We start from the raw sequence: 12,406 nt of genomic DNA on the forward strand, positions 1-12,406 counted from the left end.
GCCCCACAGGGACACAGGGCCCTACATCCCTCACAGTGTCCCTCACCTAGGGACACTGTGACCTGGGACTTCCGCAGAGATGTTACAGCCCCACAGGCCTGGGCTGAGATCCTGAGAGCTGAGCCTAAGAAAATGCAAGCATCGCGGTGGAGGGGGCGTGGGTGGGGGGGAGCGGCGGGCGCGGCGGGGAAACCACCTTGATCTACTGCCACAAGAGCACAGCCCCCAAATCATGAGACACTGAGCAACAACTGCAAGCTAGGCTCTCCAAGAGGCAGTGAGGACATAGGGTTGAGGAAAGCCGTAGAGCATCTTGATTAAGAGGATGGATCTGGAGTCAGACACCTGGGTTTGAATCCTGGGACTTACAAGCTGCATGGCCTTGGGCAAGTCAGGTAACCTCTTTGTGGCTCAGTTTCCTCAATTGTACAGTGGCATTTACCAGTACCTACTAATCGAGGTGTGTGAGGCCTAAATGAGATAATTAATGTAAATGTTTAGATCAGGGTCTGACACGCAATAGGTGCTACTTAAGTATTAACTGTTATTATTGTCACTGTCATTTAGCCTTCTGGGCATCAATTTCCGTCATCCATTCCTTAGTGTGCAGGACCTTGTTACTCAAAGTGTGGTCCCTGACCCAGAGGCATCATCATCATAGCCTGGGAGCGGGTCAGAAGTGCAGGGTCTTGGCCCCACCCAGACCTGCTGAGTCAGTCTGCATTTGCACAAGACCTCTAGGGGATTCGGATGCACACTTCAGTTCGGGAAGCTCCTGCAAGAAAAGGCTCCACGAACTCAAGGTCTGTCTTCCTCACGGTTGTGTCCTCAGCATCTCTAGGCTGGCATAGTGTAGGTGCTTAGCAAGAATTTGGGGAGTGAACAAGTGAGCTCAGCTGAGAGTAGTGGGGGGCTCCTGAAGGATTTCAGAACATTTTAGAAAGGTCCTCTACAGCTAGCATGGAGGCTGATTCTAGTGGCATCTTCCGATCACGGCATAACCCAGGTGAGAGTGATGCATGCTTGAGCCAGGGCAGGGCAGTGGGGCTGGAGAGGAGAGGAGGGGTCAGGAGGGCTCACATTAGGAGGCGGTGGTGGGGACACACAGTCTGAGGGAGAGACTCGGTCTCTGCTCACCCTGTCCATCTCCAGGTTCGGGTTTCAGGAGATGAGACCTACAGGCTCACACGCAAGAGAAGAATAAGTCATTCTGGGACCCAGGGAGGTCCTGTGGCAGCAGGGGGCAGTGCCTAGGGGGACAATGACAGTTGCCTGAGGAAGGGCCAGGGTTCCCATGGCCCTCCCCAAGTTGCTACTGGGAGGGAGAAGATGGGAAGCAGGAAGAGGCCTGAGCCCCAGCCCTTACCCGAGAAGGCATTATTGGTGTTGAGGAAGTAGATCTCCTCCCGGCCGTCCCCGTCGATGTCGCAGGCTGTGACCCCGATGGCGTTCCCCTGCCGGTCCCGCAGCGCGTAGTAGGGTGAGCTGCGCTCATCGACCGCGATGTTCACCAGCCGCTTCTGGGCCCGGTCATACTTCAGAACCAGGTTGGGTCCATTGTACCTGGAGGAGGAATGGGGAGGGGATGCTGGGGAGGAGCCGCTGGGCCCACCCAGTCCCATCCAACCAGAGCAACGGGCTGGGAGTCCTCCCGGACACGCCATGGGGCAAGTCAGACCTGGAGTGTTCCCAGGGAACACGGCCAGCCTTGCCTCATGGAACCCTGAGTGTTGGATGAGTGTCCCTGAATCAGATTTTGCGCCCGGGCGCAGTGAGAGTCAGCAGGGGCCATGTGGGACACCATATAAGCAGCAGGGTGGCAGAGGGGAGTGGGAGCCATGGACAGCCCGTTCCCACAGGCTTCACTGAAGAAAACAAAGAACTTCCTGATGCTCATCTTGCCCATTTCAATGCAAAAGGCACTTTCACATTTATGATCTCATTAATTTAAATTTAACAATCAAGAGAGGTAGGCATGTATTAGTAACCCATTTTATGGATGAGGCAACTGATGAGGTTTATCAGGGAAACTGAGGCTCAGAGAGGCTGAATGCCCTTTCCAAGGTAACACGGCCTAGGAAGTGTCAGGTGCTGGGAGTTGAACCAAGGTGCTTTCTACTATCCCGAGTCCTGAGTCCCTGTGTGAATGAGCCCTGGAGGAGCAGGAGGCTTTGTTGTTGAGGTTTGAACAACTCTCTCGACAAAGTCCCTGCATTTAAACAAAAGGATGAAGTTTGCATCTCAGATGGGAGAACATGAACACGTCTAAAGTTATTAGACAGACCTGCTGGATCTTTTTCTAAGAAATCAAGAGAAAAGGTTAAAAGGCATCACTACTTATCTCTACTCTGTCTCACTCTCCTGCGCCTGCAACTCCCTCCTCGCTGCACTGAAGCCCCAGGCACTTTCTTGCCTCAGGGACTTTGCACTTGCTGTTCTCTGCCCAGGATGCTGTTCCTCCAGACATCCACACCGCTGGCTCCCTCCTTCATCTCCTTTAAACCTTTGCTCCCCTGTTCCTTCTCAGTGAGGGCTTGCCTGCCCATGCTCCCAAAATTAGCAACCACCCCCGCCACTGCACCACCACCCTGTTCTCTATCTCTCACTAATGCTCTCTTCCCACAGCTCTGACCAACAGCTGACAATTCCATATTCTCATTTACCTCTTCCTTCTCTGTCTGGTCCCACTAGAATGTCTGCCTCATGAAGGCAGAACTTCTTGTCTGTTTTGTTCCCCAGTGCCTAGAACCATGCCTAGTATACAATAGGTGCTCAATAAATATTTGCTAGCTGATTGAATGAATGAAAGCTCAGAGCTCATGTCTGAATCATAAAAGCTCAGGTGTCCCATGGTCTGTTTCTTCACATCACCCTCCCATATGGAGAAAACAAGGGCCCTGCAGGAAGTCGGTGTGCCCAAGGTCACACCCCAGGCAGCACAGAAATGAATGTCTGAGGCCTCTTCCTGCCCACTGGGAGCACCAGCTTGCCAGGTTCTCCCAAAGAATGGAACAGACCCCATCCACAGGGTCCCCCACCTCTTCCTGTGTTTCAGCCTGAATGTGCACATCCCGAGGGAAATGCAGATACTGCCTCCAGAGGGTTCCCAGCTGGTAACACCCAGGGAGGGCAGGAAGAGCTTTCTAAGGTCTTTGAGAGAAATCACGTCTTTCTTTCCTGAAACAAATCCAGTCTGGCCCGCTGCATCATCCCAAGATGCAGAAGCCAGTGAGGTTTGGGGGATGCTGAGCAGCTGGCTGGGCACCTTCGGGCACCCATAGGGTGTGAAAGGAGAGATGGAGCTCCCTGGGGGCTGAGTCAGCGCCCGGTGATGGAAGGTCATGCCTTAGACACCTTGATGAAGAGTGTCTGAGGGCTGCATGTCCAGGGCGTGGCATGACCTATGGAGACGTGTCTAGGCAGGAGAGACAGGTACTTGGGTTCCAGCACTGTCAGCAGCTGGCTCCAGTGCTTGGGGACAGGAAGTGCCTGTGAGGGCTGAACACGAGTCTTGCAAGCCTTGGGGTCTTCTGCTTTTCCATCACTACTGCACCTTGTAAGATGGCTGTATTTGTGGAGTGCTTGGCCTTGTTAAAAGCACCCTCATATGCACAGTCTCACTTGAGCCCCACACCATCTCAGAAGGAAGGTAGGCAAAGCATTTTTCCAGAAAAGGAAACTGAAGTGAGGTCCAAGGTTACACAACTTGTTAGTGGCAGCGCTGGGCCTCTGTGTCTTCAGGGTCCAAACCCCATGTTCTTTCCGTGCTGCCTATGATGCCAGCACTCTCAGGCCTGTTCATTTTTCCCCCTGGCTGCCTCCCACAAAGTAGTGCCCCTGAGAAATGCCTGAGAACTTCACAGAGATGCAGATGGCGAAGATTATGATAGTCTTACATTTCAATAGCACTTTACACTTTACAAAGCACTTTCTCATCCTTGGGCTCATTTGCCAGAGATGAGGTTGGTGGCCTTGGGCTGGTCAGTTCTCTCTAGGCTCTGCATTTCTCTTCTGTGAAATGCAAGAGTTGGACAAAATCTGAGGGTCATGAAATGTGTGGCAAAAGGCAGCCCTGGGGGCCCTCTGCTCCATTCAACTAGAACATCTCTATGTTTTATGCATCACGTTCCACAGTATGTTGTTTGAACAAGGGATTCCAGAGCCAGAGTTTAAAAGCCCCTGGACTCTGTGGGTCTGTGAGTCTCACTAACCTTATGAGACGATCAGAGCAGGTGCTCCCTGCCCCAGGCTGTGGCTGAGAAGCCACCATAGAAGCCCAGCACTGACACCCTTCCCCTGCACCCCTGCCCGTTGGGTCTCCTAGAATGTCTTCACCACCCCCTGAAGCCAGTTCCAAGGGAGAGGTGAGGGATCATGGCCTCCTCACATATTGGAGTCCAGTCCTTCTACCCTGAATCTGGAGTAGCTGGGGTACACACAAGGTCCCTGCACCATGGTAGTAACCTCGGAAAGGTAGTTGGCCCCGGCTCTCTTCTTTAAAGAGTTTTAAGGTGCCAGTTCCAGAGGTAAGGTTGCTAGGCTGGGTCAAATTCTTCGATCAGTTACTGAGTGAGCACACGCCACAAAGGCTTCCCTAAACTGACATGGTAGCTTGGGATGCATCCTGACACTCTGGCCCTCATCTCCCCCAGTCCCCACTGCCTCCCAGGACTACAGATACAAAGCCAGACCAACAGCTCCTAGGTTGGGTTCTTGGCACCCCATGGTGCAAGGCCAGGGCAGTGCCTGGAGTTGCCACTTCCTCCTTTCACCCAGGCTGCTCTCTGCTGAGTCTGCTGGACCAACACTCAGAGCCTCTCACAATCCCCCAAGAAAACCAGGAGAACCAGTCTTCTTCCCTCCCCGCTTCTTCTTGAGGCTGACGTTCCTGTTTGCTTCCTCACCATCCCCTGAGTGTGCTCTGCCCTTTCCAGCTCCTGTGGTTTTGCTCAGCTGCAGCAGTCCCCTCCCACGGGGAATGCTTTCCCCACCTTCCCAGCCTCCCACAATGCCTGCCCCGACTGCCCCTGCTGGATGTGACCTTCTCTTCTCTGGAAACCCACAGCATTTTGCACCTCGCTTATTCCTGTGAGGCCAGAATTGTTTGTGTTCCAACATCACTTTCCTCATTAAAACATGTGCTTCTTGAGCTCAGGAAGCATGTGGAGTGGATGCATCTCTTCATTTGCTGTGCCTGAAACAATGCTTGGCACAGAGTAGGTGCTCAACAAATGTCTGTTTGATACAAGAATGAGTGAATCAGTGGATGAATGAATGAATAAATAAAAATAATCATGGGTAGCCTTACCAGAGCAGCCACTGCGTGCCTAGAATTATGCTAAGTGCTTTGTACCCATTGTCTCATTCCGTCCTCACAACAATCCTAGGACATGGGTCTTATTAACACCCCATTTCACAGATGTGGAGACTGAGGTTCAGAGGTTAGATGACTTGCCCACTATCACTCTGCTGGCAGTCCCCACGCTGACAAGCCTGGGAAGCTGAGTGTGAGCTACATGGGCTTACACACTTTCTCTCTCTGACACCTGTCAGATTTCTGAGCACTTCTAGAAATTCTGGAGGCTTCAAAGCTAAATTCTGGAGGCTTCAAAGCTCAGTTAAATGGAGCCAAGAAGTGGGGCAAGGTCCCATGTTTTGAAGCAGCTATGGCTTCCTAAAGGATGGGCCAGCAGGCAGGGGTGATGGGCTCAGTGGCAACTGTAAAATATGCTTGAGAGACGCCATCAAGGGCATGACCAACCCGTGCTGTGAGAGCCATCCCATTTTGGTGCCAGTTCACTGGGACAGCACCACTGTGGGGAGGGCAGGGGCCTGGGGTTTGCCGAGAGCAGCCTGGGGGTGGGGTCCTGGCCCTGCCACCTCCTGGTCTGACCCCAAGCTTGTCCCTCGGTTCCTCTAAGCTTTGACTTCTGCATCTGGAACAGGGGGCTGCTGCATACCTCACAGGATGGCTGTGAGGACGAGGTGCCAGAGTGTGTGTGACAACACTTGGTAAACTGTGAAGAGTTACACAATCAGAAGTTCTTATCATTATTTAGAAAAACAACAAACCCGGGGCACAATCTCTCACTCTCTGGTGATCATGTTGATATTTCCAAACACACTCCAGCATTTCCTGTCCCCAAACATCCCGCCCTCGGTAGCTCATCCTCTGCAGGTATATTTCTTTATTCCCATGTAAAACCAAACTTCTCTCTCCACTTTCCCGCTGCCTATTTGCCCCACCCCCATCCACCTTCCCACCCCAATTCTGCCACAGCTTTTCCTGCTACCATCATCGGTGGCTTTTATGAGGCCATATCTCAGGGTGCCCTTTTCTGTCCTCATCCCCCTCGGCCTCTCAGCTGTATTTGGCACAGTTGCTGCTCTCTCTCTTCCTTTTCCCCACCGCTGTCCTCTGAAAGCACTCTCTCTTCTAGGCCAAGGAGGCCAACTTCCTCTGGTTTCCTGCGCTCTCTCTGGCTTCCTCTCCTTTCCCCACCGTAATTCCTTCTTCCTCTCCCTTCCCTTTTAATGTTGGAGTCCCCAGTCCTGGGCATTCTCTTCTTTCTCTCCCCTTTCACTATGGGATAATGTTCATTACCCTGACTGACAATTCCAAATTCATACTTCCAACCCAAATCCCCAGTCCCAGGTCAGATGCATATCTCTGACTGGCTACCTGACATCACCCCTTGGACGTCCACTGCCACCTCCAATAGAACATGTTCAAAGTGGAGCTACTGACCACTCCACCCCTCCCTCCCACAAAGGAGCACCCAAATACTAAGGCCAGGAACCTGCGTCAGACTTGGCTGTCCCTCCCCTTTGTCTTCGCCTCTCATTAATTGGCCCATCCTGTCGTTTCTACCTCCAAAAATGTTTCACAAATCCTTTTTCTTCTTTCCTCCTCCACTGCCACCATCTCTGGGCAGACACCCTTCTCTGTTGCCTCACTTGACCGTCCCCTAATTTAACTCCCCCACACTGTAGCCAGAGTCATCTTTTTTACTGCATAAATCAGATCATAGCTAAAACCCTTTGGTGGCTTCCCATTGCTTGGGAATGAAACCCAGACCTGTGATCACTCCTGGCCTTGGAGCCCGCATGGTCTGCTCCCCTACCTCACTGGCCTCCTTCTGCCACAGGGTCTCCTTTCAGCTCCTTGAATTCTGGCAAGTGCTTCCCAACCCAGCACTCTCTTGCAGAATTGCTCCCACCACCCAGAACACTCTCCAACCATTCCCCGCCTGTTTGGTCCTACAGTGAGCTCCTTCTCATCCCTTGGCCTCCTCTTCAGAGGCTCCTCAGAGAGATCTCCCTCATTGGTATTCTCATCGCTGCATCCAGCACCTATTCCTGTTTCTTCACTTGTTTATTGCCTGTCTCTTCCAGTAAACTATAAGCTTCCTGAGGTCAGAGACTGTGTCTGGTTTGTTCACTCCTGTCTCTCCATCATCCAGCCCATAGTGAGCTCTTAATAAACCACCGCAGAGTGAATGGAAGAGATGAAGCCCGTGGAAGGTACAAAGAGCTGAACAAAAGGTTGACTGGGCCACCAATCCCTTGTTTGTTCTTGGACTCTACACTTTCATCAATTCCCAAAATATTAATATATGTACAAACATAGTCATGAAAAAGAGCTTTCAGCACCAAGAATTGGTGTCCTGGGTGAGGAGGAGAGAAAACAACAAATGCTATAGTTATGGAGGATCGACTTCTTTTCGCTTAGAATCTTTGACCTATGTGAAAAAAATCGCTTAGGGAGTCACATAAGGGGAAGCCAGATAGAAGGATGTGAGCACCTATTATATACCAGAAACTGTGCTAAGTAATTTACATATGACATTTCATTATATATAAATAGAAACATTTTTTAGATTTGAAAGATACAGAAAATATGCTATCTGTTTGAAAATTAAGAACAGAGAAATTGTTTTCATTAAAATTTTTTTTCCATTAAAAAGTGAAAAAAAAAAAAGGCTGGGTATGGTAGCTCATGCCTGTAATCCCAGCACTTCAGGAGGCCGAGATAGGAGGATCCCTTGAGCCCAGGTGGTTGAGACCAGCCTGGGCAACATAGTGACACCTGTCTCTACAAAAAAATAAAATAAAAAATTTAGCCGGGTGTGGTGGTGCATTCCTGTAGTCCCAGTTACTCAGGAGGCTGAGGTGGGAGGACTGCTTGAGCACAGGATGTCGAGACTGTGGTGAGCTGTGATCATGCCACTGCACTCCAGCCTGGGCAACAGAGCAAGACCCTGTCTTCAAAAAAAAAAAGTGAAAAGTGAAAAGAATATATCTATTCAGTAGTATAGTCAAGATAGAGAGTCAGGGCAGAAAGAAGAGAGAGATGTATGAATGCACAAAGAGTGCAAGACCGAGACCAGAGACACATGGAATATACAAAAATGGAAATGAGGAAATATACAAAAAGGGAAGAGGAAGCCGACAAGCACAGAGAAAATGATATCAGAGCATACCTAAAACCTTTTAAGTAAACATAGATACAGAGGTAAAGACACCTACCCATATAAAGGGAGCCACATGAAAAAGGGCATCTGCAGATCTACAAAGACAAATGGAGAGACCCCTAGAAAGTCTCGAAGTCATGGACACATCAACAGGACTCTGAGATATGATCATAGAGAAATAATTCCATCTTGTGGCCACTTGGGGCATTTCCTCTAAACGTTTTTAAAAATGTGTTGCATTTTCACAACTATGGGCACACAGGAGTATTTTATTGTTGGTCACTTTGATACTCTCATTTTATAGATACACAAAGTTTCTGAGAAAAGTGACTTCTAAAGTCAAACAGCTGGTCATTAGATAAAATAAATGGAAAGACAAACTTATCCCTTAGTCTAAAGCAGGGATCAGCAAACTATGGCCTGTGGGCCAAATGGTCTGCTTCCATTTTCGTAAATATGGTTTTATTGGAATGCAGACATACTCATTCACTTATGTACTATCTATGGCTGCTTTTGCTAAATATTGAAGTTGATTAATTGCAATAGAGACCGTATGGCCAAAAGCTGAAAATATTTTCCATTTGGCGCTTTACTGAAAAAGATTGCCAATCCCTGGTCTCCAGGATTGTCAGCCTTATAGTATGAGTATATTACAAATTTTAAATGATAATTATCATAACAACAAAAAATTAGAATAAGGTTTAGTAAAAATTAATTTGGGCTTAGTACTTGGGAATACATAGTTTCCTGAAGCAAGTATTTCAGGGAGACTGAAGGTTAAATGTATGAAAGATTTTAGGTCTTAGGATGGCGACTGTAAGGCAAGATAACCTTTGGGGGAAAAAGAAACTGAGAAGAGCTGCTTAAGGGCCAGGTGCAGTGCCTCATGCCTGTACTTCCAGCACTTTGGGAAGCCAAGGTGGGTGGATCACCTGAGGTCAGGAGTTCAAGACCAGCCTGGCCAACATGGTGAAACCCCATCTCTACTAAAAAAAATACAAAAATTAGCTGAGCGTGGTGGTGCACACCCTGTAATCCCAGCTACTTGGGAGGCTGAGGCAGAAGAATCGCATGAACCGGGGAGGCAGATGTTGCAGTAAGCCAAGATCGCCCCATTGCTGTCAAGCCTGGGCAACAAGAGTGAAACTCCATCTCAAAAAAAAAAAAATGATAAAAGAGTTGCTTAAAATGACAACAGTGTTCTCTAAACAGGGATTTAATCTAAGGCTAAGAAATGAGCAAAAGCATTTGTGCTCTAAGTGAGGGGGTAAAAAGGTTGTGGTAGATGGTCTCTAAAAATGGTCACCATCATTTCCTTTCTTCTCTGTATGCATGTGTTACTCCACTCATGAAGACATGGAGTCTATTTCTCCTCCCCTTGAATTTGGGCTGGCTTTGTGATTTGCCTTGATTGCAGAAGACGGTGGAAGTGATGTTGGAGCAGTTCTGAGCCTAGCCTGCAAGGGGCCCAGTAGCTTCCACTTAGTCTCTGGAGGAAGCCAGTTACCATATACAAAATTTGGCTACCTTAAGACCACCATGCTCTGAAATCAAAGCTAGCCCTATGGAGAGGCCATGTGAAAGAGCACCAAGGCATCTGATATGTGAGCAAGAACTTCTCAAATCTTCCAGCCTAGCTCACTGACAGCTGAATGCAGCTAAGTGAGTGACACCAGCTGATGTCACATGGAGCAGAAGAACCATCCAGATGAGCCCTTTCCAAATTCCTGATTGGCAGAATAGTGAAAAATAATAAATTGTTTTTAAGCCCCTAAGTTTTCAGAAAAGAAAGTAGATAATGATGACCTATCATCTCAGATCTAAGGAGAGGAAAAATTTATCTCTGGCAAGTAGGAAAAAGGATTATTCATAAATCAGTGGAATTCTCTAGGATGGCTATTTGAATTCACAGTAGGCAGGTCTCCCCAAGGGAGGCCTGGACTAGTTGTGTTGGTACTTGGATCTGAGGATATGGGAAGGTCTGTGCAGAGCCCGAGGGTGGAAGGGTAATAAGAATACAGGGATCCCAGAAACTCCTGTTTTTCTACTCCTCTTTCTCTTTCTTCTTTCCTTTCTAACCATATCTAAATGTTTCCCATTTTGAATGCACACTCTTGAGAATAGATCATTTCTTTGGAAATGTGTGTAATGCTCTTTTTTTTGTTTGTTTTTACACATTTTATTCTTTGAAAGCCATTTAAGTTAAATAGGACCAGAAAACATATGGGAAGACATTCAAACAGGAGATTCACAGAATGTATCCTGGAATAGGATATATCCAGAGGCCATATATTAGTTTAAAGGAATAGAGACTTTGGTAATGGGAAGGTTCTGGGCGTGATGAGAAATCTGGGGCAGGGTTCCGCTAGGGAATAAATTGGGTAAGGTTGGAAAAATAACAATAACAAAATCAGATTTGATCCTGATTTAGGAGCTGGCCAGAGTGGAGAAGACTCCACAAATAGAGTGCTCTACTGAAGAAGGTAACTTTAAGAAAAAAGAGAAAAACCTTTTGTCCTAAGGGGCAGATGGTTTTTCAAGAAAGGGATGGTTGGCACCAAAAGGTCAGAATAATCTGCAGTGATGGTGTCTGTGTTCTGTAAAAACTCCACACAGACTGATTGATTTCGGCCTTGTTCTTAAAAAGATCTGTGCTCAGCATGTGCTCGATGCCCTCGGAATTTCTTATATTTTCATGAGCATAGAGGCACACAGAAGGCAGGGACTATCCTATGCAGCTCTATTCCCCATCACACCTAGCCCAGTGCCAGGAAAGACCAAGTGCTCAGTCATGTTTGCTGATGATGACGAAGACCATAACTCCATTTCTCAATGCATGTTTCTAGGAAAAGAAGAAGACAGGGAGTCAGGAATTCCCATAAACTGTCAAAGAAGGGATTCAGGTGACAGATGGAGGCTGTGTTAATCAGGATTCTTTGGTTGCAAGTGAACTAGTTGAGAAATGTATTGGCTTAAATGTCCAAACTGCAGGAACAGCAAAAGTGCAGCTAGGCTTCTGGATGACTGGAACCAGGATGTGGTCAGCACTTCCTTTTCCTTCTTTCTCATTCTTTTCTCTGCCTATGGACCTCATTCTCTCACATGATCCTCCTTCCCAAGACTTCAACTATGGCAGCATTCCCAGACTCACATCTCAGCTTCAGGACCAGAGGGGAGATTGTGTTCTCTCCTCAGTTTGCATGTAAAAAACCCCAGAAAAGAGCTCTGATTGGCTCAGGGTGGGTCACCTGTCCATCTCCAGAGGCAAGAGCTGGGAGCCTGTGGTTGGTAGCTTTCAACTAGTAGCAAGGCCAGTGAAAGTGGCATCTTGGGATCCACCTATATGCAGGAAGAGAAGTGCCAGGAAGGATAAGGATGTGGTTTTAGATGACAGTGACTCATTTGGGTCTGCATATTCTGGAGACAAACCTACCAGGGCCTCCTGATGGAAGACAACAAATGCTTCCCTGGGACCACCAAGTCACTGTGTCCTCTAGACACATCTCAAGGGCCCCCTATTCCCCTCCAGAAGCCCCAGAAAGAAGTAAACACAGAAATTGGAACAATGTTTGAGTCACTAGGTTCTCGAAACGGTCTGGTTCGAGGACACTAAGAGTTGGCAGCGATGAGATCAGCAAGTGGATCCCAGAGTCTGGCCAGAGCTCACCCACTTGCTGTGGATTCAGGCAAATCACTAACTGCTTGGTCACAAAACACTTTAAATATCTATTCAAACTTTCTTTCCTTCATGCTATAACTACCCAGAAGCTTCTAGCTAAAAAGCTGTTGGTCTTTATCTCTCTTTCAGTTGAGGAGGTAGGCCAATTTAGGGACAGAATAGTTGGGGCAAGGAGCCAATGAATGCTTCACTCTTCTTTAAGAGTAAAAAGATAAGTCAGGCATTGACTTCATTCCACCCTTCTGGGATCCTA

General features: G+C 48.2%; 1 protein-coding gene across 2 annotated transcripts in view; it reads right to left on the bottom strand.

The window, feature by feature from the left end:
* CRTAC1 (cartilage acidic protein 1) overlaps positions 1-12,406 on the bottom strand; it is a 165,622-nt gene that overhangs the window by 69,804 nt on the left and 83,412 nt on the right. For both annotated transcript variants that reach the window (NM_018058.7, NM_001206528.3), the window contains exon 3: positions 1,367-1,563. In NM_018058.7, coding sequence (NP_060528.3) covers positions 1,367-1,563 — 197 coding nt within the window. The remainder of the gene's footprint in view (positions 1-1,366; positions 1,564-12,406) is intronic.

Source organism: Homo sapiens, chromosome 10 (assembly GCF_000001405.40).
Source record: "Homo sapiens chromosome 10, GRCh38.p14 Primary Assembly".
Classification (NCBI taxonomy): domain Eukaryota; kingdom Metazoa; phylum Chordata; class Mammalia; order Primates; family Hominidae; genus Homo; species Homo sapiens.